This window comes from Homo sapiens, chromosome 16, assembly GCF_000001405.40.
Source record: "Homo sapiens chromosome 16, GRCh38.p14 Primary Assembly".
NCBI lineage: Eukaryota > Metazoa > Chordata > Mammalia > Primates > Hominidae > Homo > Homo sapiens.
The window spans coordinates 75,095,107-75,117,604 of NC_000016.10; the positions used below are offsets into that span (position 1 = coordinate 75,095,107).

At 55.2% G+C, this 22,498-nt stretch overlaps 2 protein-coding genes across 4 annotated transcripts in view, besides 11 other annotated features; one reads left to right on the top strand and one right to left on the bottom strand.

Annotated features, from left to right (window-relative positions):
• ZNRF1 (zinc and ring finger 1) overlaps positions 1-15,888 on the top strand; it is a 111,971-nt gene extending 96,083 nt beyond the window's left edge. The window contains exons 3-5 of one of the 2 annotated variants that reach the window (NM_032268.5): positions 9,678-9,783; positions 11,376-11,465; positions 12,627-15,888. In NM_032268.5, coding sequence (NP_115644.1) covers positions 9,678-9,783; positions 11,376-11,433 — 164 coding nt within the window. In that variant the 3' untranslated portion in view covers positions 11,434-11,465; positions 12,627-15,888. The remainder of the gene's footprint in view (positions 1-9,677; positions 9,784-11,375; positions 11,466-12,626) is intronic. The other variant, XM_017023793.2, reaches the window with a different exon arrangement.
• Positions 215-945: an enhancer, noted in NCBI's record as "H3K27ac-H3K4me1 hESC enhancer chr16:75129219-75129949 (GRCh37/hg19 assembly coordinates)". NCBI's record gives its function as "activates a minimal SCP1, AML or CMV promoter by ChIP-STARR-seq in primed H9 embryonic stem cells {active_cell/tissue: H9 hESC(primed)}" and the evidence as "EXISTENCE:reporter gene assay evidence [ECO:0000049][PMID:30033119]".
• Positions 946-1,675: an enhancer, noted in NCBI's record as "H3K27ac-H3K4me1 hESC enhancer chr16:75129950-75130679 (GRCh37/hg19 assembly coordinates)". NCBI's record gives its function as "activates a minimal SCP1, AML or CMV promoter by ChIP-STARR-seq in primed H9 embryonic stem cells {active_cell/tissue: H9 hESC(primed)}" and the evidence as "EXISTENCE:reporter gene assay evidence [ECO:0000049][PMID:30033119]".
• Positions 3,402-3,521: an enhancer, noted in NCBI's record as "active region_11119". NCBI's record gives its function as "activates an Ori minimal core promoter by ATAC-STARR-seq in GM12878 lymphoblastoid cells {active_cell/tissue: GM12878}" and the evidence as "EXISTENCE:reporter gene assay evidence [ECO:0000049][PMID:35858748]".
• Positions 4,873-4,932: a silencer, noted in NCBI's record as "silent region_7707". NCBI's record gives its function as "represses an Ori minimal core promoter by ATAC-STARR-seq in GM12878 lymphoblastoid cells {active_cell/tissue: GM12878}" and the evidence as "EXISTENCE:reporter gene assay evidence [ECO:0000049][PMID:35858748]".
• Positions 5,043-5,102: a silencer, noted in NCBI's record as "silent region_7708". NCBI's record gives its function as "represses an Ori minimal core promoter by ATAC-STARR-seq in GM12878 lymphoblastoid cells {active_cell/tissue: GM12878}" and the evidence as "EXISTENCE:reporter gene assay evidence [ECO:0000049][PMID:35858748]".
• Positions 7,271-7,772: an enhancer, noted in NCBI's record as "H3K4me1 hESC enhancer chr16:75136275-75136776 (GRCh37/hg19 assembly coordinates)". NCBI's record gives its function as "activates a minimal SCP1, AML or CMV promoter by ChIP-STARR-seq in primed H9 embryonic stem cells {active_cell/tissue: H9 hESC(primed)}" and the evidence as "EXISTENCE:reporter gene assay evidence [ECO:0000049][PMID:30033119]".
• Positions 12,560-12,729: an enhancer, noted in NCBI's record as "experimental_44438 CRE fragment used in MPRA reporter constructs". NCBI's record gives its function as "activates a minimal promoter by MPRAs in K562 erythroleukemia cells, with activity observed for the non-introgressed 16:75141649 variant allele {active_cell/tissue: K562}" and the evidence as "EXISTENCE:reporter gene assay evidence [ECO:0000049][PMID:34662402]".
• Positions 13,924-14,073: an enhancer, noted in NCBI's record as "active region_11120". NCBI's record gives its function as "activates an Ori minimal core promoter by ATAC-STARR-seq in GM12878 lymphoblastoid cells {active_cell/tissue: GM12878}" and the evidence as "EXISTENCE:reporter gene assay evidence [ECO:0000049][PMID:35858748]".
• Positions 14,104-14,183: an enhancer, noted in NCBI's record as "active region_11121". NCBI's record gives its function as "activates an Ori minimal core promoter by ATAC-STARR-seq in GM12878 lymphoblastoid cells {active_cell/tissue: GM12878}" and the evidence as "EXISTENCE:reporter gene assay evidence [ECO:0000049][PMID:35858748]".
• Positions 16,181-16,230: an enhancer, noted in NCBI's record as "active region_11122". NCBI's record gives its function as "activates an Ori minimal core promoter by ATAC-STARR-seq in GM12878 lymphoblastoid cells {active_cell/tissue: GM12878}" and the evidence as "EXISTENCE:reporter gene assay evidence [ECO:0000049][PMID:35858748]".
• LDHD (lactate dehydrogenase D) lies at positions 16,758-21,674 on the bottom strand. 2 transcript variants are annotated; one of them, NM_194436.3, is made up of 11 exons: positions 21,543-21,674; positions 20,442-20,554; positions 20,092-20,233; positions 19,721-19,862; positions 19,420-19,579; positions 18,860-19,059; positions 18,636-18,764; positions 18,429-18,556; positions 17,728-17,818; positions 17,496-17,607; positions 16,758-17,415 (listed from the first exon to the last, which is right to left on the bottom strand). In NM_194436.3, the coding sequence occupies exons 1-11, from the start codon at positions 21,612-21,614 to the stop codon at positions 17,250-17,252; spliced, it is 1,455 nt and encodes a 484-aa protein (NP_919417.1). In that variant the 5' UTR covers positions 21,615-21,674; the 3' UTR covers positions 16,758-17,249. The 2 variants fall into 2 exon arrangements, with proteins under 2 accessions (NP_919417.1, NP_705690.2); NM_153486.4 differs by having other exon boundaries at positions 18,860-19,128.
• Positions 20,905-21,199: an enhancer, noted in NCBI's record as "tiled region #12749; K562 Activating DNase matched - State 8:EnhW". NCBI's record gives its function as "activates a minimal TATA promoter and a strong SV40 promoter by Sharpr-MPRA in K562 cells {active_cell/tissue: K562}" and the evidence as "EXISTENCE:reporter gene assay evidence [ECO:0000049][PMID:27701403]".
• Positions 21,675-22,498: the final 824 nt, after the last annotated feature.

Below are 22,498 nucleotides of genomic sequence, written 5' to 3' on the forward strand. Positions count from 1 at the left end.
TCTCCTGAAAACTTCTCTCTTAATTACTTGTTCAGCCAAAAGACTCTGGATGCAGGTGGGCATATTACCCACGTGGCTCAGCTCCATGCATTTGTTAGGCCATGCTCAGGTGGGAGGACCCGCACGGCCCTCCCCTGGGCATCATAGCTGTGGTCTGGGAAGCCCCTTTCCTCCCCAGGGGACAACGCCTCCTTTCTCCTGGGCTGACTGCTGCCAGTTCTCTAAGTCTGTTGTCACATGTGCTGCAGGCTTCGCGTCAGTCCTGTCGCATGCATGCTGTCAGGACGCTCAGGCTCAGCTTTGTCCCTGTTCGCCGTCTCCGCTTGGGACCAGGGAGGGAGAGGAGCCTTCCCTGCGTCTCACAGCCCTCCCTAGCCATGGCCTCAAAAACCCTATTCACTTCTTTCCCACATGTGTGGAGACCTCATGAAGTCCTCCGTTTGTCCTGTGGGTTGCTAGGGCGTTCTCTGTAGACACTGCGTTTGTTGTAGGAAGAATACAAAGAAGCCTCAGAGGGGCTCAGCCTGAGAAAACCTGGCTCTCAGGAAGAACTTTGCAAGAGCAGCCGTGGAGGACAGAGTGCTCTTGGGCCCCCATGGCCCAAATGCAGAGTTACCCCCACTGCCCTGTGGAGAACCGGGAAGGTGAGGCTGTCCAGCTCCTCTGCCAGAGAACTGCCTGGGACGCCACCATGTGTCCCCCTGTCCCCCTCTGTATCAGCACTTGAGTGCCTGGCGCTGTTGGTTTACCCCCCTACACCCCACCACCGGCAGCCTCACCCAAGACTACAGAAACCACACCGGGAGCCGGGCCCCCCTTAGAGGAAGGGGAGATTGGCCAGCCAGCCTGAGGCATGACCACTGCTCCTCTGGTTCTGGTTCTAGTTTTTCCCTTGTCATGGAATTGAGGGGCAGGCCACCTCCTCAAGGGTGCATGTGTTTCTGTATGTGTGCACGTGTGTGTGTGTGTGTGTGTGTGTGTGTGTGTGTGTGTGTAAACTAGAGGCTTTACACCTAAGGCTCTCTTTTGCAAAAGCCAGTCCTTTACCACTGGAGGCAAAGAGAGGCCAGTTGTCTCCAGTCCTTCCAGTGGACTTTGTCTCAACGTGGTGAAGTGCTTTGTTCAGAAACAATGGTCCGGCCCTCTGTGGACCCTGTTCATGTGGTATGGACTCCTCATGTTCAGTCTTTGTCTTTTCTGAAGACCCTAAACCTTCCAGGTAAGAGGAGAGCATTTGCTTCCGGGGGTGTATGTGGAGTGGGCATCCCCAGGCACGCCCAGGGCCTGCTCCAGCTCAGAGAGAGCACAGACCGTGGGCCAAAGCTCAGGAGCTCCAATGTATTCCCCATGATTTGTCATCATCCCAACCTCACCTGCTGCATGTTACCTTTTCTAATTTAAAAAAAGACTTAAGAGTCAGAGGTGTGAGTTCTTGGAATCTTTCTGGAAAGGGGGCGAGGCGGGGCTTTCTTAGTGAAGAGTTTTCTTATGAAGATTCACTAGAACTCCTGGTCACTCCCCTGAAGACTTCCCATTTACACACACACTTTCTGTGGTTGTTGGCACCAATTGCGGAAATTTTTAGAAAATTTATGATGGTTATATAAGATGAAATTTAGTTAACCACTAAAGGAAAAAAGTAGAAACCTCCTAAATGAGGCAGATAGAAAGTAGTATTTTTCTTATTATGAGGGTTGGCCTGAGTGGTGGGTTGGAAGGCCTCCAGTAGCTGCCTGCTAGCTTAGAAAAAACACAACTTAGGAAAGGCGAGACTAGTTTAACTGGTTCAGCTAGTGCCTGGTGCTCCGAGGACAGGCACCTGGCTGGGGAAGTTTGGGAATGTGCTGAGCCCCTGCTGGAGGGGCAGGGAAGGGCGGTTGACTCCAGAGCACCGAATGTTAAACCCCCTGTCCTCCTAAGCGCCTTCCTGGAAGGTGAGGATACTGTATAAGAGGGAGGGGGTTCGTTGGTTTGTTTTTGTGGGTAAGATGGATCAACCCGAATGGGCCTTTTAATTTCTCTCCCTTTCTAACATCTCTGTTTGTGACTCTGAGACTGAGGGACCTTGCCCTAAAGAATACGCATTCAAATTTTGACCCTCGAGTCTCTGGGCTAGCAGAACAAGCGTGGAGGTGGGGGTCTGATTGGTGATGCTCTGAACGGAAGAGCATTGTAATCCTGTGGAGTCGTGGAGATGACCCGCTTTTGACTGGAAGCTTAGGGGTCCTCAGCCCAGGGAGAATCTGGGGGGCGGCAGGTTCATTTGCCAGCAGCACCAAGGAGAGCTCCCCTCAGCTGTGTTCTGGGGGAGCAGAAGCCCATGCTCAGCTTCTTATGTCATGATGCCCTCTTCCTCCCCTCTGCCAAAGGCCATTGCCCCCATCTTTAAGGCTCTTGAGATGCTAAATGTCACACAAGCTGTCTTTTAAAGGCAAGGGAGGCCGGATGCAGTGGCTCACGTCTGTAATCCCAACACTTTGGGGAACCGAGATTGCTTGAGCTCAGGAATTTGAAACCAGCCTGGGCAACATAGTGAGACCCCATTTACTAAAAACAAAAAATTTGTCTGACATGGTGGCAAGCGCCTGTAGTTCCAACTTCTCAGGAGGCTGAGGTGAGAGGATCACTTGAGCCCAGGAGATTGAGGCAGCAGTGAGCTTGATCACGCCACTGCACTCCAGCCTAGGCAACAGAGCTTGACCCTGTCTCAAAAAATAAAATATAAAATAAAAATGTGAGAGGACCTGGCTTCCTGGAAAAGCAGAAATGGCTCCTGCTATAGCCTGCCCTGTGCCTGCAGGCAATTCTTTGTCCCATGTCTCCTCCTCTCAGAGACCCTGTGGTCAGAATGAAAGCACCCTACCCTTTCCCTGCCTGGGGAAACCGGGTGCTGGCCGAGGAGTTTGCCCAGCCTTGCTTGGGGCATTGCCCAGAGCCATTGTTAGATGCTGGATGGGCTGGAGTCAGGCTGGACAGGCTGGAGTCAGACTGCGGAGGTGTCTGTCCTGTTACTCCTCCTACAGGAGGGCGAGGAGGGGCAGGTGACTGCTCACCCAGGGTGTCCAGCTGTTGCTGACCGGCTGCACTGACTGCCAGACTGGCCGCTGCTGGGTGTATGAGGAGCGAAAGCGACTAGGGGAGGCCTGCAAGGCCCTAACACAAGTGGGGAAACCAGGAACAGGTGGCTACAGGAAAGAGGACTGTGGGAGGGAGCTGTAGTGGCCTCAGTAGGAAAGTATGAAGCGCTCCAGGCCTGAGCTTTAGTTGGCTGCCCCCACTATCCTCATTGCGGGTGGCCCAGCTCACCAAAACAATTGCATTGCACTTCAAAGGGCTGGGCAGTTGGATGGGCCGCTGCTGGTAGGCTACACTCTCTGCTCAAGGTCACCCTGTTGCCTGAAGAGCACAGCCCCCCAGATTTCCCAAAAGGGGAGCTGACAAGGCCTGGCATGGGTGGCACTGCCCTGTCCTGTCCCTGGCAGACTGGGCCAGCAGCTCTGCATGCTGAATAGGCAGCAGGACCAGGCACTCCACCGCACCTAGGCTGGAAATGAGGTCAGGGGGTGGAACCTGAGCCTGTGCGTCATTTGCTAGGGGTTTCCCCTCTGACTCCCACCTTCCTTCTCTCTGGGCCCTTCATGGCCACCAGGCACAAGTGGAGATGGAGAGGCATGTTCCTGTGCTCAGCTGCTGCCTCGGAGCTGCACGGGCTTTCCCTCCCAGCCAGGTGCAGATCTGTGTCTGCAGCTGTGTGAGCCTCCCCACCCCTCCATACTTCTAGCAGTTCCAGGGTCTCTTGAGGATGTGTTGCCAGAACTCTGCAGAATACTCGAGCCTGGCATGGTGGAGGGCAGGTGTGTGTCTCTCCTGTCTGGTCTGTTCACTCAGTGACCAGGTTCCTCCATCCACCTTGGGTCCTCTGCACACACTTCACAGAAAGGGGGAGATGCAAAGTGCCTGTGAGACGGGTGGTGTTTTCCAGCCCCAAGGGAAGACACCCTTATGGCCTGGTCTTTTAAGGAAAAGGGGCCAGGTCGCTGGGTGGCAGAAACTTGGGCTTGGGAGTCATCACCACTTAGCAGCTGCATGAGCTTATCCGAAGATCCCCACAGGGGCTTTAGGAGTCATGGTGTGTGTGTCTGAGGAGTTACCTGCATATAGCTGGCTTAGAGAATTAAGGCTCTTTTGCTCCTCCTCCCAGATATCTTTGCTTTGACAAATAGCAGCTGTCAGAAGCACCGTGCCTGGATCCCAGGGAGGGAGCAGAAGATGCCACCGCCTCCCACCCCCAGCCCATCACAGGCATCATCCCTCCCTCCTGTTTCAGCTCCAGGGCCGTGCTCGCCATTCTGGTTTGGTTCCCTGGTCTGGTTAGAGGGACAGGCACTGACACCATCCCCAGCCAGGCCAAACACACTTCCAAGCTCTCCCTTGGGCAGTGACATTGGCTGGCTTTGTACAGTGGCGTCAGGAAACTTGGGAGGTGCTTCAGAGGTAGTAAGAAAAGGGCAGAACCCAGATGGCAGAAAGTTTGGCTTTGTTCTTATCCGGCAGCATTTGTTGAACCTCTTCTCTAGGGGCCTGGAGATACCAGGGGACATTTGACTCCATCTGCAGCAGAGTCTCAGTTTGTGTGGGCCAGGCGCCTGGGTTTTGTGCTGCGAGGCCCCCGCCATGGCTTTTCTCTGACGGCAGGCAGCAGGTTCGTGTCAGATGCTTCTGGAAGTCTTGTAGGAACCAGTTGATAGGCAAGCATCAGCTTCAGCCATTTCCACTTCCCTGCTAGGCTCTCAGGGACATCCGGAGGCCACTAACTCCCACAGCCCCAGGGGTGGGGACAGGAAGTTGTACTCAGCCCACTGCAACCTCTTGCTGGGTTTGTGTGCCTCCTGCCTCCTGCTGTGGAAGAATGCTGCTCCCTGGGCACTGGGCTCTGTGTGGGCACTGCTGGCTTCCCCATGCTGTCTGAGTCAAAGACCCTGACTCCTTCCTATTGCCGGGAACCTCCAGGTGGCCTTTTGCAGCCAGTGGCTCTTGGTCCCAGTGAAATGTGCTCCCTGCCGTGTGCCAGCCTGGTTGGGGTGCCTGCACATTTTAGTTCTTCCCACCAGTGCAGCAGACTCAGGCCAGCTGGTAAAGGCACAACACTGCACTGTGCATAAAACCGCCTTGTGGAGTGGTGAGGAAAGGCTGCCTCTAACCTTCCTCTGCTCAAGTCTGAGTCCTTTAGTGCACAGGCCTTCCGCCCCAGGACAAGAAGAATCGCCCTCGCGCCCCCTTCCCCTTCCCCTTCCCTTTCCCCTAGTGAGGTTCGGTGCAAAAAGAGAGTCAAGTCCAGTCTTGTCATAAAGCGCCTAAGCCTTATCCTCATACCTGCCTCTCCCTTCCCTGAATCCATCACCTCCTGGGGGGCGATGAGGGAGACCACATGTGCCCTCCTGGAGCTGACACAGATGGGGAGAGAACACACCTGGTGTGGGAAGCTGTATGGGACCCAGAGAATTCTAACTAGTCCCTTGGGCTCACAGTTGAGTTACCAATCAGTAGGAGAAAATGCAAAGATAAACTACTTAGGAATCAGTAATTGCCATGTTCCCAGGAAATCCTCCTTAAGTATGGAGGGGAAGGAATGCTTTAGAGGAAACTAAGGGCTATAGCCCATACGCTCATGTCATAGATGAGGTGTCCAAGACAAAGAGAGTGGGGAATACAGGTCCAAGAATGTCTGCATGACGACTCTGCCCTCACTAAGCTATGCTGTTTTTCCTCCCATCTCTGTTGAGGTTTTTCCCTCTGTTTTATTATGAAAAATGTCAAACACACAGCAAAGTTTTTATGTTTTTTTGAGACAGAGTCTCGTTCTGTCACCCAGGCTGGAGTACAGTGGCACAATCTTGGCTCACTGTAATCTCTGCCTCCCGGGTTCAAATGATTCTCCTGCCTCAGCCTCCCAAGTAGCTGGGACTACAGGTGCATGCCACCATGGCAGGCTAACTTTTGGTTTTTTAATAGAGACAGACTTTCACCATGTTGGCCAGGCTGGTCTCAAACTCCTGAGTTCAGGTGATCCATCTGCCTCAGCCTCCCAGAATGCTGGAATTACAGGCATGAGCCACTGCACCCAGTGTACGGCAAAGCTGAAAGCATTGTATAGAGAACACCCTTATTGCTGGGCGCGGTGGCTCACGCCTGTAATCTCAGCACTTTGGGAGGCCGAGGTAGGTGGATCACGAGGTCAAGAGATCAAGACCATCCTGGCTAACATGATGAGACCCCGTCTCTACTAAAAACACAAAAATTAGCCGGGTGTGGTGGCATGCACCTGTAGTCCCAGCTACTTAGTAGGCTGAGGCAGGAGAAACTCTTGAGGCGGAGGTTGCAGTGAGCTGAGATCATGCCACTGCACTCCATCCTGGCGATAGAGCGAGACTCCATGTCAAAAAAAAAAGAGAGAGAACGCCCCTATTACATAGCACATGCACCACCTGGAGTCTGCAGTGTACTAGACCCGTTTATCCATCCACCAACCCATCTTATCCTTCTGATGCATTTCATAGTAAAATGCAAACACCAGTATGCTTCCTTATCAGGGTTTTTAACTAAAGTAGTGCACATTCGAACGCTACAGAAATACATAAAAGGATTTTTCTCCAAGTCCTCCTTTCCTCTACCACTGTGAAAGTGTGTGCATCCTTCCAGACTTTGATCTGTGCCTACACATGCATTTGAATATGTATGGTAGCTAGTGCTTTCAAGCAGGGGGATCACACCCATGTGTTCATCCACTACTTGCCATGTTTGGAGTCTGAGGGGACAGACACTTCAGCAGCAGACTGTGCCATCTCCCTTCTCAGTTTGTGTCACCCTTTCAGGTGGGTCCTCGGGCTAGCCAGATGTTCTAGACAGAAAATGACCACAAGTTGTCCTGGTGGCCAGGAAGCTGAGAGTGACTTCTCTCGCAACTCATGTGCCTGGGGACTTAAGGATCGAATCGGTTCCATTTTATGCTTTTTCCTTGGGGTTCCTGGTGGGGGGCTTTGAGGAGCGGAAGCCATAGCCTTCTGGGCCCTGAAGAATCTTCATTTTATGGGCCCCAGGTGTTTGCCTTTCCACCAAAATAATAAGAGAACACAAAGAAACAGCAATGGGAAGGCCTCTTAAGCAGAGGGTCCCAGTCCCAGCCCCACAACCCACAAGCCCACTCATGAGGTGTGTGACTTCCTTGGGCTTCCGGATCCTCATTCGCAAAATGAGAATAACACTGGGTGCCCTGCCCAGCTTGGAAGATGGTGATGCTCAAAGGAAGACACGCACATGTGTTTGTCATTGGCAGTGTTCGGGACAGTTAAGTTCCTTTAGTGACGGAGAAGGGATCCTGCCACAAGCTCTGCCTTCTTCACAGCTGAGACACTGCTCTCCTGATATTTCTCCTGTGGCTTGGAGGACTTCTGGGTCGCCTTTTGTTCACGTCGCCTCTTTTCACCTGCCCTTCAAATATTCATGTCGGCCTGGGTTTGTCTTCTGCCTTCTTTGGATTTTGGTCTGAACTTTCTCCCTGGACTGCCTCTTTATCCCACATCCATGCCTGGCACCCATGTCTCTGTTCCAAACCTCAGCTCTAGGCTTCAGCAGCCTCCTGGAGGTCTCCATCAGCTGGCCGGGCCTCCTCCCACCCAACTCAGAATCCGTCCCTTCCTTCTCATGCTTTCCTCCTGGGCACCCTCCCTTAGTGCAGGCACCTGCTGTGTGTCCCGCTGCCCTCATCCGCACACGCAGGGCTGCTGCGCACTCCTTGTTGTCGGCCCCAGACACCACAGCAGAACACAAGGCTGTTCCCTGTGCCCAGAATCTCCCGTCCCCACCCCAGCTTCATCCATCCTCCACCTTCTCCAGAACCTTCCCAGATCAGCCCCCATCCTGATGAGGTCTCTTTCCCCATACCCTCAGCCCTGGGCCTGCGCGTGAGAAGATGTCCTGGAAGTCCTCATGCTGTGCCTTTTGATTTCCTTGTTCGGCATCCCTGCTAGTCTGTGAGCTGCTTGAATCCCGAGATCATGGCTATTCACTGTCGCCGGCACGCAGAATGCCATAGGACTTAATAAAAACCAGTGGGTTCCCATGGGTGCAAGTAGCTTCCTTCCATTCCTTCTTTTTGGGATGGTGAGCGGGGTCACTTTTGTTTCTTTCTTTTTAAACATTGAGATGAAACTCACCATAAAATTAACCATTTTTATATGTGCAATTTAATAGCATTTAAGACATTCACAACCCCCATCTTTATCTGGTTCTAAACACTTCATCGCCCCAAAAGAAAACCTCTGGTGTGATTCCACTTACATGAGGTAGCTAAAATACTCAAACTCATAGAAGCAGAGAGTAGACTAGTGGTGGCCAGGGGCTGGGCGGGGGGAAGGGGAGTGGTGGATTAATGGGTATAACATTTTAGTTATGCACGATGAGTAAGTTCTAGACATCTGCCATACAACATAGTGCCTACAGTTGACAATACTATGTTGTACACTTGAAGATTTGTTAAGAGGATAGAGCATATGTTAGTCTTACCACAATAAAATAAAGTTTTTAAAAGGGGAAAAAACGGGTCAGGCGTGGTGGCTCACACCTGTAATCCCAGCACTTTGGGAGGCCAAGGTGGGTGGATCACGAGGTCAGGAGTTCGAGACCAGCCCGGCCAACATGGTGAAACCCCGTCTCTACTAAAAATACAAAAACTAGCCAGGCGTGGTGGTGGGCGCCTGTAATCCTAGCTACTCGGGAGGCTGAGACAGGAAAATCACTTGAACCCAGGAGGCGGGGGTTGCAGTGAGCCGAGATAGTGCCACTGCACTCCAGTCTGGGTGACAGAGTGAGACTCCATCTCAAATAAAAGCGGGGTGGTGGGGGGGGAGAAAACCCCCTACCCATTAAGCAGTCACTCCCCATATCCCTCTGTCCCCAATACTGATCTCCTTTCCCTCTCTATGGATGTATCTATTCTGGACATTTCATATAAATGGGTTCATACAATAGGTGGTTTCTTTTACTTTGTGTAGTATTTTTGACGTTTATCCATGTTTTAGCATGTGGTGGTTCTTCCTTTTCTTGGCTTAGTAATATTCCATTGTGTGGATACATCATCTTTTGTTTATCCGTTGCGCAGTTTGTAGACACTGGGTTGTTTCCACCTTTGGGCTGTTGTGAACAATGCTGCTGTGAACCTCCGTGCACAAGGATTTTCTTGGGGACCTGTTTCTTCCTCTCATTCTTGCCTCCTACCACTCTACCCATTACCATATTTTTCCAAACCAGACATCAGCACACTGGCTACGTGTGTGTTTAGGAAAGCATCTGTGGAGGGAAACAGCTTGCCTCATGCTGCCCCTGCTTCCTGTCTACCCTTCTCCAAGCCTTTTTCGTCCGCTGTCACCTAGGCTTTTGGTTAATCACATGTTGAGATTAATCCCATTTTGTCTTTGGGTAATTAACATGTGATGTCCACGCATTATCTCCACGGTGAAAGTCTTAAGGTCAACGTCCCTCTTGGGGTTCTGTGTCCCCTGCAGAGCCGGGCACAGCTTGGGGCAGCTAAGCAGTCCCCTAGTTCCTAGGCCCTTGCTTGCCCCATGCCACCTGTCCACTGGTGACTAACCCTCCTGCACTCTCCCCTGTCCCCCTTGCAGATGATGTGCTGACTAAAGACGCGGGTGAGTGTGTGATCTGCCTGGAGGAGCTGCTGCAGGGGGACACGATAGCCAGGCTGCCCTGCCTGTGCATCTATCACAAAAGGTAGGAGGGGTTGGCAAGGTAGCTTAGTGCACCCCACCTCCCAGAGGGGCGGACCCCCATCTCCAGCCATTCTGTCTCCTTTGGTTATGGGATGACCTCTCCCCCGACCTCTGGCTCCGAGCGGGTAAGGGCAGAGGCCATCAGACAGGTGTCCACTGTGCCGGCGGGAAGGTGCGAGCATCCCAAGTGCAGAGCAGAGTGGAGTTGCCAGAGGTGTGCTCTGGTTTGAGGGCTCAGGTGGTGGGAGCTGATGGGGAGACCCGTAGAGCCTCACAGGTTGGAGGAGCTTCGGATCCCACTGGGAAGGTTGGTTCTCCGTCTGTCTCCCTGCCTCTTCTTCCTCTACGGGTCCCTCTGCTCCACAGGGGTAGAACATCAATCTGTGCGAGGAAGGCCAGGCGGAGGGTGTACCCACTGCCTTGCACTGGCCTTCTCCCTAGAGGGCCGGGAGGCAGGAAGAGCCATTTCCTGTGGGGCCACAGCACTGGGCACAGTTAAAAGTAGCAGGGCCCAGATATGCCTTGGGACTCCAGTGTGAGCCTCGTCCTTGTTTCCAGCTGGAAGGAAGGCACCCTCTTGCCCAAGACAGGACACTGTGCTGCCTGGGGCCAGCACCTGTTGAATCCTCGAGCCCAGAGCTTCTTCCTGACACTCAGGCCTTTCAAAGCCTGACTCTCAGGGCCACTGCTGCACAGGGTGACAACCGGGCATGGCACGCAGTGTGGCTGGTGCAGAGGAGGCTTAAGGCTGGCCTGGGAGAGATTCTTGGTCTAGCTCCCAGCACGGAGCCTTGCTTGTGTCCCAGGGCGGCACTAACCAGAACCAGAAAAGGAAATCTTTGGCCCTCGGGGAGAATTATGCCAATTATCTGTCTGGTTCCTGTCTTTGAAAATGCCCAGATGTTGGTTTACAAATCAGGAAGCTGTCTTGGGGCAATCTCTGTTCCCTCTTTGATGCAGAGAGCCTTTCTCTGTAAACACTGGAGAGCAGGGCTTCACTGTCTGGCTCCCCTCCCGCCTCTTGCAGGAAGGACTAGATGCTGCTGATCAGCTGATCATGGCTGAGCCGGGTAGAGCTTGGGGCTCTCCTAAGAGGTCACCCACTGGGAGGGAGCTTCACAGCTGTTCTTTTGACCCAGGAAGGAGCTCTTTCAGGACTGTGGCACCCAGAGCCGTGGCCCTCCTGCCATGCCATTGTTCCCACTTCCCTGCCCTTGGGAGTCTTGGAGACAGCTGACTAGCTGCCCTGAGGGGTCCACCGCTCTCACCTTCTCACTGGTGGCTGCTGCCATTCTCCTGGGCTCTGCACAGAAAGCTTTGGTCCTTCTGAAAGCCACTCTGCCCCTTCCTGCAGCACCAGATCCCCCTGAGCCGGTACTGCTGCCTCCACCTGGGCCAAGACTAGTCTTGGTGTTCACCCTTCTTCGTGCTTCAGAAAGTAGGGATATCTGGGGACATGACTGTGTTTCCCTGGGGTCCTTTCAGAAGAGACTTAGGAAGCTCCTGCTCAGGAATCTGGCCCTCTGAAAGAGCCCCTTCAAAGCAGCCTGGGCAGCAGGTAACGTGGTTTCCCTTGCGGCCCCCTCCTCCCAGCTGCATAGACTCGTGGTTTGAAGTGAACAGATCTTGTCCGGAACACCCTGCGGACTGACCTGCGGGCTTGCTTGCTGACTCCTCTCAAAGGTGAGCCCGCGTTTGGGGGTGCTCCGGGCTCAAGGCTTGGGGTCAGGTCACTTTGGGGGCCTGCAGTTTAGGGAGCCGGGCTGCCCTTATGCCACTGAGAAGAAAGCAGGAGCAGAGGGAAGGAGCACCTCATCAGTGAGCAGTTAGTCATCCGGAAATGATTTTCCCTGGGAAGGACAAGAGATACAAACCAACATGGACAGTTATGAAGAACAGGCTCAGAAGAGTTAGGATCAGTTGGGGAAGAGACCAGTACAATCTACATTCCTAAAGAAAGTTCAGGAATATCCCCTGGGAATGTGCACGGGCAGGAAAAGGAGCCTGAGCGGTGGGTTTGTGCCTGGCTTGGCCTCATCCTCGCTCACCTCTGAGTCTCCGCCTCTTCTATGGTAACGGGGATAATCTCACTCCCTGTTGCCATAAGGACATTGCACTTACTAAACAGCCATGGGCAGTGCATTGTTCCCTGCAAAGTGCTGGTCAGCGATCATTTGACCACTGCTTCTTCCCATGCCGCTTCCAGATGAATCTGAGGCCTCCAGGCCAGACTCGATCCCTCTATCCCACAGCACTGGGTGCTGACTCCACACATCCCCCTGGCTTACCGCTGGGTCTGGCCTCCCCATTTCTCCCCCAGGGGTACCCCACTTGCTGCCAACCATCCACCCCTGACCCCCATCTCACCTGTCCCCTCCAAGTTCTGGGCTGGCATTTTCCTTTTTCTGGCAAACAAGTAGACAAAACCCCCATAAAAACCAAAAGCCCAACTCCATCTCACAGCCAAAGGTTTTGGGACCTTTTTCTTCCCCCCTCCCTTTCTCTCTCTCTTGCTTTCGTTTTCTTTTGTTAGGTTTATTTTATTTATTCCAAGTAAACTCCCAGAACAGCTGATGATGTCAGACAAATCAGGGACATTTGCTCTTTTTACCTCCACCTCAAAAACTGATGACAAGGGGAGAAGAAAGAGCCAGGGGGGAGAGTGAGGCAGGGGAGTAGAACCTGCCCAGGCACATGGCTGCAAATTCCCCGTGTGCTGTTTGGCTTCTGGGGTCCTGTGTAGACGCCCCAGCCCCGCCTGCCCTCTTGGGATGCAGCTGCCCTGGGATGAGCAGACAGCCCTCGGCCCGATGGAGCACGACTTATTTATTACGGTCCACACAGGGACAGAGCGCCCCTGCTCCAGGGAGGAGGCTCACCGGACCCTGGGGCAGAGCTGAGCTTGGGACACCAGCGGGAACAGGGCACCCCTTCTGCACTGACTTCCAGATCATGGTTCTCCCTTCCTCCCTGAGGACACCAAATTGGATGAGAGCAAGTTTGAGAGAAGAATGAATCAACTGCTATCCTTCCCCTCACCCCTCAGCCCAGGAGGGAAAGGGCATTTTCTTTTTCATCTTTGAAAGGCATTGTGGGTCTGTCTTTAAAGTGTTTACAAAAAAAAATTATATAAAAAAAAAGTCTAGTGTCGACTGGTGTTTTCCCTCGTGATGTTTACAGCTTGCTGTTTGCTGCCCAGCCATAACCCACTCAGTGACAGACGAACACAGCTAAGGCCTCGCTGCCAGCCTTCTGACGGCGGGCGAGCACACGGTCTCTTCCCCTGCCCCAACTGGCCCTCTCCACCACCAACTTCTCTACTTTGGGTTTGTTTGGTTTTTTCCCTCTATTTTTCTGGCTGGTTTTTTGCTCTTTTCTCCCCTTGAGACCCTAATATCTTGACTTCATTGCCAAAAAACAACCCATTGAGAACTTTCTTCCTACTGATCCCATCTCTTTTCCCTTCTTTCCTCCTGGTTCCGGTCAGTTCAGAGGATTTAACAATCACAAGTGTCCTGCAAAAATGCCTGAACATTATTCTTAGGCCCTCGTGGATTTTTTTTTTCAGAAAACTTAAACAAAAAAAGACTTACTAAGAAATATGTACAGCTACCCCTGTTTTCAGGCACTATGTTTGAGAACATTTTAGCCATTGATGTTCACACGTGGCATCAGCCCATGCAAGATAGGTTTCTGTATTTATATATTAAAATACAAAAAAAAACTTATAAAATGTTTAAAAAAATGTTCAAAGCTTGGGAGAAAAGCTTTCTTCATTAGTCAAGGTGTTTTGATATGGTATTAAAATGTCTAATAAAAGATGGCACTGCGTGATTTTATTTTAATGAAGTGTTATACAATCAAGAAATGGGGGCAAGGGCCTGCCCCCCACTCCCTCACCTACCTCCTTAGCATTCCTTCAGGCTGCTACTCGGGGCTCCAGGTGTGTGAATTGGTCCTCAGATAGTCAGGCCTGGGTGGAGGGAGTGGCAAGTCAGGCGTGCCTCCTACAAGCTTCCTAACCTCTTAAGCATCATGGAACCAGTCAGCCCTCTGTGGAGTCATTGTGCTGGACCTCTGAAAAGATCTGCAGGGGCCAAGATGTTGCAGCCACCGGAGGCTGCAAGGATGTGGGTTCTTCCAGGTGTGGGCCCAGCCCCCCTCCTTCCAGCCTTTGCTCCCCATCCCACGTTCCACTCGCCCTGCCTGTTGTTCAGTTTGCGTCTCAGTGCTGACTCACGGGCATGCTTCATTGAGGCCCAGGAAGAGGCCCTGGTTTGGGGCTGTGCCAGCTCAGAGCCCTTGAACCAGAACCAACTGCTCAGGCTCACAAAAGTTGGCAAAATGCGGGCTGGGCAGGCAGCTCGGGGCAGGGAGCAGCAGTGCAGGCCTGGCCTGTGTCCCCGTGCCCAGCGGGCTCCCGGAGCAGCATTCCAGAGCCTCCTGCAGAGCCAGCGAAGGAAAGCTCTAGAGGGAGACGACTCCACCGCCTCTCTGCTCTGACCCTTCTCAGGCCCGCCTGATGTGCTGGACCATCCCCCTGCTGCCACGGCCCCTGGCTCCGCAGTCACCCTCCATCAGATGCTTCCAGAAGCACCTACTCTGTGCAAGGGCATTCACAACAGGCCAGTGGGCAAACGTGAGCCAGGGCCAGCGGAGAAACACTAAAGAAGACTCGGTGGTTCAGAGCCTGGGTCTCAGCGCGGGACCCGTCTGGGGTGAAGACCTTGGGGCTGTTGTGAGTCGGTGGCAGGAACGTGGGCTCTAGACTGTGCATTCAGGCTCTCCTACTTGGCAGAATGATCTTGGGGAAACGACTTCATCTGAACTTCAGATATTTCACATGTGAAGCGGGGACAAAACCATGCAGCTCAGAGGTCCCTGTGGGGGCTGGGGGAGCTGCCCTGCAGGTCTTGGCACATGCACAGCAGGCTCCCCATAGCTTTGTCACCACAAAGGGCACTGTTCTATTCACAGCACCTCCTGCTTCTGCCTGGCAACTGTGTCTCCCTGTGCTATATTTAATTCCACCAGCAAAGCTGGCGAGGCAGGGCCCAGCCCTGAAGGAGATCTCCTTGCCTGACCCCTGGACCTGGAAATGGAGGCTTCATGTGCCCGCCTTGGCGGCTTAAGCCTGCTGCTTTGGCAGTGCCATGGGTGAGCCGAGCAGCTGTGAGGTGGGTGGGGCAGGGCTGTAGCCCACGCCGGGTGCTATTCCAGGCTCTAGGGGCTGGTGCTCATCCCCACCCCCAGCGACTTCCGTCCTACCTGGCATGCTGCAGCCCTCTGCCGGCTGTGGTGTCCTCTGAATTTGGACCCAGGTTGCCTGCTCTTGTTGTGGGGGTGGGATTGGGGCTGTCTGTGTTTCCCAGGTGGAGCTCATGTTTGTGATCCTCTATCTGGACAGCTCTCCAGAATCCTGTGTTGCCCCTGTTCTGCCTTTCTGGGATGGGAGAGAAGGTGAGGGAGCCGGCGAGCAGGTTCTACCCTCTCTGCTAAGGGCCTAGCACACTTTGATGAGGTTCCTGGACGTGAGACCCTCACAAAGACCAACCATTCCTCTAATAGCCATTTAACGGTACTGCAGTTCATGGGAAAATGTCCTCATTCTTAGGAGATAGATGCTGGATTATATAGGTGAATGCCTTCAAGAAATGTGTAATTTAATTCCAAATAGTTCCCCCCAAAATACACAAAGCAAATAAGGCCAAAATGTTCATTGTTGAATCTGCAGTGGCTGGTATTTCAGTGAACAGTGTACTTGTTCTTTCAACTTTTCTGTATGTTTGGAATTTTTCTTAATAAAAGATTGTGGGAAATGGTCATTTGCTGAGCGCCTCCTAGTTGCCAGGCACTGGAGGGCGCATCAAAGAAGAGTCCTACCCAGGAGGGAGAGCGCAGCTGCTGCAGGATTCTCGCCTGGAAGAGTGGGTGGCTGGCTGGCTGGCTGGAAGGGGAGGGGCGAGAGGGCTGTCTCGGTGATGAGCACACGCGTGCTGGGGTGGTTTGGGGAGAGGGCTGAGATTTGTCACCAGTGAGCCCTTGGCACGGTCTCTGCTCCCCACCAGGGCAGCACGGGACAGAAACGTCACGGAGGAGTAGCCTCCAGGCTCAGGTTGGTGTAACTGCTGTCGGCTGGAGCCCAGTATTAGCACGGAGGAGGGGTTCCAAGAACTGAAGTTGGACTGGGGCGTCTCAGCGCAGCTGCCTCTGCCTAAGGCCTAGCAGCCTGCCTGAGCACTGACAGCTGATGGGAGGAGGAGAGGGGCGGAGGCCAGGGAGGGCGTGGGGTGTGACATGCCTCTTTCCAAAAGGGACCGAAGGCTAGAGGGGCAAGGAAGATGAGACAGCACTGCAGGTTCCTGGGACCTGCAGGGGATGGAGGACTAGCTTGGCTTCCAGGCTGCCAGGACTTACCTGACCCTAGGAGGAGGTTTGCCCAGGGCTGAGTGCCGCAGGCCCTGGGCAGAGGAGTCGTGAGCTGCAGATGCCGCGTGGTATCTGAGCTTCATGATTTCGGGCGCCCTCCTGTGGGCTTAGGGGGGAACAACTGCCAAGGTCTCAAGACGGGCTCCGGCCCAAGACAGGGGCAGGCCCTCGGGTGGACAGACCTTGAGGGCAAAACAGCTGGTGGTACGATACATCACCCCATGAAGAGGTGGGTGCAAAAATAGTCTCATCTCTGTTTCTAGAGACGTGGCAGCTGCTGAGGAACACATTCAGTGTGTTCAGAGGCCCGGTTCAGGCCCAGTTGGGGAGCCCATCCTGAGTGACATGTGCCGTGGGCAGGTCCTCAGCTCTGAGGCGGAGTAGCTGGGACAGGGACCTGGGTTCCTTTCCGAACCCTGAGCACCAACCTCCTCCCCAGGCTATAAGAAGTCAGAGGACAGCCCCAAAACAAAGGGGTCACTGACCAAAGGACAGAGACCCTGGAGGGGGAGGGGAGGAAGTGCTGCCTGCTGACTTCCAGGTAGCTGTAGGTGGGTTTCAGGTTTATTACAGATTTATTGGGGGAGGCCCCAAGGAGAAGACCTATCATCATGTCACGGGAGCTCACGTTCCATACCAGGAAAGGAGTGTTCCTGTCACCAGGTGAAGGGGGAAGGGTCCTGGGACCCCGGCAGTGGGAGGCCTCGGGGAGGGGTGTCATCAGAGTCTTGAATGGACCCAGACGCTCTCTTCCCGCCAGGACAGGATGCGTAGGAGCAGAGAGGAAGCAGCTTTGCTGGGAACCACCCTGGGTCGTTTACTGAACCAAAGGCTCCTGGGGCCAGCCAGAGGGCCAGGGAGGTAACACGGTGCTCAGGCTTCTCTCTGGGCCCTCTGGCCTTGGGCCCAGATACAGTGGGCTCGCTGGCAGGAAGACTGCCTCAGCATCTATTTCCTTGCAGGGGCCGTGGCATGAAGAAAAGTTCCAGAACCGGCTCCGTAGTCAGGGAACTTGTGGGCTAAGTGCTCAGACCCCCTTCACAGCACTTTGCCTGGATTCATGAGGCCTTGGGGGTCTAGCACGGCCTTGAGCTGCCGCATGGTCTCCACGCCCACGGCGCCCACCTCCTCCTGCAGCAGCTGCCGCTTGCCCATTCCGATGCCATGCTCCCCCGTGCACGTTCCGTGGAGAGCCAGTGCCCGCCTGGGGGCAGGAAGGAGACATCCTCAGGGGGCTCCCTTTCCTCTGCCCTCAGCTCTTCCCCTCCCTGGCTTTGCTCCTACCTGCCCAGCTGTTCTGCAAAAGCCTTGACCCTGCCCAGTTCCTCGGCGTCATCAGGGTTGACCAGCAGGATGCAGTGGAAGTTGCCGTCACCCACATGCCCGACAATGCTTCCTGGGGGCCCAGAGGACAGAACTATTCTCCAGCCCAGTCCTCCTCTTGCCTCCTGCTGCCCCAGGCTCTGATCAGCCCTGACACCTCCCCACCTCTCCCCAGCAGCAGGGTGGGCAGAACCTGTGAGTCCTGAGGCATTCAGATCCTCCTTGGTCTGCACCACGATCTCCGGCAGCCGGGAGATGGGCACACACACATCCGTGGAGTAGCCCTGGTCAGAGGGAAGCCTATGAGTTACCCCTGCCTGATTGGGTGTACGGGGTCACCGTGGTCAAGGCTGAGGATGGGTCGGAGGGCACTGGGCTTCAGCTCTTGGCCTCACACAAGGAAATAATCCTGCTCTTCTCTAGGCCTCAGCCCTCACCTCCCCCCGACACAACACAGGAGACCAATGGCCCAGGTGTGCTTGCCACACCTCCCCTGTGGCTCCCACCCCCAAGCCCCAGGCTGCTGAGCCTTTGCATAGCTGCCTGGAGCCCAGACTTCCCTTCCCCAGGTTAGGCTAACATCCCCCTCTCTATCATCTCTTCCTCCAGGAAGCCTTCCTTCCATGTACAGCTCCCAAGAGCACCGCACCGTTCCCATGACCTGGCTCACAGGAAGGGCTTTTGAGGGCTTAGCAGACAACTGTGCTTTCCCTGTAGACGGTATCTGAACAGCTGGGTGGGGCGGTCTGCAGCCCTTGTTTCTAGCGCCTGCTCAGCCAGGCCCAGCCCCGTTGTTGAGGCTCAGCCTGCTGCTCTGTGCAGTAGAGTGGTGGGTTGAGGAAAGGGTTTGTGGGCCGAGCTGTGGGCCCCATCTGTACCCCAGCCCCAGCTCACCTTGCAGCCTGGCCGCGTGGCCAGGGCTGCGTACCAGGCATTGTGCCGTGCTGTCCAAAGCCGGCTGCGCTCCTCGGCCTCCTTGGCCCAGGAGAAGTCAGAGGCTCCGTTCTGCTGGACTATCTCCTCTGCAGTTGGGGAAGGGGGGCTGACACCGGGCCGCCACTGAGGCAGCCCACCCTGCTGCCCCACTCCACCCCAGCATACCTGTGCGCTGCAGCTGCTCCTCCAGTGCCTGCTGGGAGCCATGGAACTCCAGGAAGAGTGTGGGCGCCACTAAGCAATTCAGCTTGCTGTACCTGTTGCAGGCATCCATCATGACTTCATCCAGGAACTCTGGATCCAGGGAGATGGCAGGCCAGGTGAGGCCTGGCCTTCCCAGGGGGCCTCTTCCAGGGAGCCCACCCTGACTGCCCCCATCCTCAGCTCACCAATGCGGGCTACGGGCACTGCAGCCTGGAGGATGTGTACAGTGCTGTCCACAGCAGCCTGGACACTGGGGAACGCACACGTGGCGGCCACTGTGGCCTCAGGGGCAGGGTGCAGGCGCAGGGTGGTGGCTGTGATGAGGCCCAGCGTCCCCTCGGAGCCCACGAAGAGCCCCGTGAGGTTGTAGCCGGCTGCACTCTTCCTACGTCCCAGGGACACACAAGGTGAGTACCAGGCTGTGTGATGAGGGATTTCTGGCCAGAAGCCGAAGCTGGAACCCAAGACACCGACCCCAGGCACTGAGGTCTGGGCTGGCCTCCCTCGGGCCCAGTTTCCCTGGCCCAGTGCTTTCTGCTCCACAAAGCCAGTCGGCCTCAGGCAGGGAGAGCAAACCCTGGTCCCATCCACTTTGGCCCAGCTGACAGGGCTTCAGAGCCTGAGGAAGCCTAGCCTGCCAAACCAGGGGGCCGCCAGGAGGTGCTTTTCACAGCCCGGTCTCTGCAGGGCAGCCCGCCAGCAGTGCCCAGGGCCAGAGCCCGGGCCCCCCGCAGAGGGCGCTCACCGGAAATGCCGGCCTCGGCCCGCCGTGTGCAGCAGCCGCCCGTCGGGCAGCACCACCTCCAGGTTGAGCACGTTGTCCCGCATGGTGCCGTAGCGGACCGCGTTGGTCCCCGACGCCCCGGTGGCCGCCATGCCACAGAGAGAGGCGTCCGCGCCTGGGTCTGGAGGGCGGCGTACAGAAGGCAGCCTCAGGGACCGGAGGTCCTTTCCCTCGGGCTGGGGGAGGAAGGTCCCCTGAACCCCAGACACAGCCCTGCTCCCACGGTGCCCTCAGGGTCCCAGGAAAGGTTCGCGAGTCCTACCCACGGGAAACCAGAGGCCGCTGTCCCGCAGGTGGGCGTTGAGGGCTTTGCGGGTGACACCTGGCTCCACCACCACAGAGAAGTCCTCCTGGTTCAGCTCCAGGATTCGGTCCATATGCGTCAGGTTAACGCAGACGCCGCCCTGGTTGGGGCAGGTGCTAAGACCACTGCAGACCTGGGTCTCTGACCTGGCCACGTCCCCGGACCACACCCCGCGGGTGTCCCCCCAGCAGCCAGACCAGACCCCCAGAGGCAGGCAGCCCACGGGCGGGAGCAGACCCAAGGTGCCGTGTGTGGCGGGGGAGGCAGCCACAGGTGTGCCAAGGTGTGCTGGGACCATCCTCGGGCCGGGCGAGGGAGCCCCACTGTACCTGCACAGCACAGACGCCACCCTCAAGCCCGGTGCCGGTGCCGAATGGGATGATGGGCACACCTTGGCGATAGCACAGGGCTGCCAGCCGGCTGACCTGCTCCACGTTCTGGGGCCACACCACAGCATCAGGAGGTTCGCACCTAGAACCAGACCCTCAGCGATTTAGCGGGGCGTGACACCCTCTGGTCCCGAGGTGTTGCAGGGCCTGAGGCTACAGCAAGCGAGGGGCAGAGAACATGCCAGAGCACCCCAAAACAGATGAGTGAGGAGGAAGGCAACCCAGCACCCTCTCTCTCAGCTGGGGTTGAATCCAGAAGACAGGGGAGGGGCCCGCGAACCCTCCCATACCTGTGCACCGACTCATCGCGCCCGTGCTGCTCTCGGACCACCGCGGCAGTGGACACGTGGGAGCCGCCCACCACGGCCTTCAGAGCCTCTACGAAGTCCCTGCAGAGCTCTCCCTGCAGGGAAGAAACACACTGCCAGGGTCCCCCGAAAGACACATGGGGCCACAGCCCTGCCCCAGTGTCGGGGGGAGGGCTGGGGGCTGGAGGCTGGAGTGAGCCTCCCCTGCGCCCGCCCCGCTGACAACATCCTTGCCAGGTGGGCCCACTTTAAACAAACCCACTATCCAGAAATGCCTCTTTTCCAAACAGAGCCATTGGGGGTCAAAGTTTCCCCTCAGAAAAAAACGCCACCAGAATTTTTTTAATGTTTTCTTTTTTAATAAAAACAGGGTCTTACTATGTTGCCCAGGATGGTTTCAAACTCCTGGGCTCAAGCGATCCACCTGCCTCGGCCTCCCAAAGTGCTGGGGTTACAGGCGTGAGCCACAGCGCCCAGCCATCCAAATAAAAAACCAGAATTCACTCTCCAAAAAGGCTATCAGCAGGGTTCCTTCAATAGCCAGCCCAGCCTGAGCAACCGAAAAGATCCCTCACTTCCTCCTTTCTCCAGGGCCAACCAAGCACCACCCCAGCCACAGGGAACTCAGAGCTTGATAAGGGAATTAGGGGGAGGAAAAGCTTCCACTGCCCCCTCCCCACTCTACGTTGCCTGGGGCTTCTGGGCCCTTCGTGGGGGGCGGGGCGCGGCGGGGCGGGGGATGTGTTTCTTCCCATTTTACAGATGAGAAATGGAGGCCAAGTTAAGGACAGAGCCTGGCCTGGAACCCAGGCCCTTTCCTTCAGGGCCTTCTTCCACAGGTGTGTTTTATTCCAGGGGCATCCATTTGACTCCCCCAGCCCCACTCATGGTAGCAGTGGGGACTCAGCTGATCTCACTCTACACCCACCCACAGTTGCCACAGGGTAAGCCCAGTGCCCTTTTGCCCAAGGTCAGGTCACTTGGTGCTGGGGCGTCACAGAGCCCAGGAAACTTGGGATCAGAACCCCCTGCTCCCCGCTCCCCACCTCATCCCTCCAGAGGACTTCTCTTCTCTCCCGGTACCTTTGCCTTCTGGGAGCAGTAGCCCCTCCAGGGGAACAGCTCCCAGGTTGCAGACCTGAGCAGTCGGGCCATAGCCAGGCACTGGCCAGAGGGTGTGAGCACTGGGTGGCAGGGTGACCAGTCAGCTACTGTGGCAGCAGCTACTGCTGCTGTCAGCCCATTGGCTAGGCCAGGGGTGGGGCCTGCTTAAGGTGGCACGGGCTTTAAGGTGGCCCTTGCAGATCTTGCAGACATTTTCGTGGGCTCCAGGGACGACACTTCTAAAGGAGAGGCGAGGTTCACTGGACGTTTTGGGAAACTGTAAGGCAAAAATAAAATTCTAAGCCTCCCAACCGACTGAATGGACCTCCCTCTCAGCCCAGGGCATTCCAAAATAAACCTGAAAAATTAATTCAGGCTGTGATGGGAAGAGGTTTAGGACAAGCCTCATTATCCCCCTCCTTCCTTTAGAATTCAGACACAACTGACCAGCATTAACATTAAAACAGAGACCTTAAGGCATTCTGATCTTAAGACACAAAACAGACTCTTTGTAGCAATAAGATACCAAATTCCAACCTGACTCTAGCATCACCTGACAGATAGCAGGCCCTGAAAGAAATCAATGTATTTTACCCCCAAAATATATTCCTCTGATTTTTTTTTTAAATAGCTCCAAAAAGCTGTCTTTTGTGGGGAAAATCTAGAATCTGTAGAGAATCCCCTCCCCTTTCCAGGTTTTTTGTTTTGTTTTGTTTTGTTTTGAGACAGAGTCACTCTGTGGCCCAGGCTGGAGTGCAGTAGCGTGCTGCAACCTCCACCCACTGGGTTCAAGCGATTCTCCTGCCTCAGCCTCCCAAGTAGCTGGGATTACAGGTGCCTGCCACTGTGCCCAGATAATTTTTCTATTTTTAGTAGAGACAGGGTTTCACCATCTTGGCCAGGCTGGTCTTGAACTCCTGACCTCGTGATCCACC

What these genes read in the sequence shown, in the direction of transcription:
- LDHD (NM_153486.4), bottom strand. Translation starts at nt 21,614, where the DNA reads ATGGCCCGACTGCTCAGGTCTGCAACCTGGGAGCTGTTCCCCTGGAGG. An exon ending in AGTGCCCGTAGCCCGCATTG is followed by an intron (nt 18,765 to 18,859) that starts GTGAGCTGAGGA and finishes CCCTGGATCCAG; the next exon opens with AGTTCCTGGATGAAGTCATG. An exon ending in GAATGCCTCAGGACTCACAG is followed by an intron (nt 17,608 to 17,727) that starts GTTCTGCCCACC and finishes CTGGGCCCCCAG; the next exon opens with GAAGCATTGTCGGGCATGTG.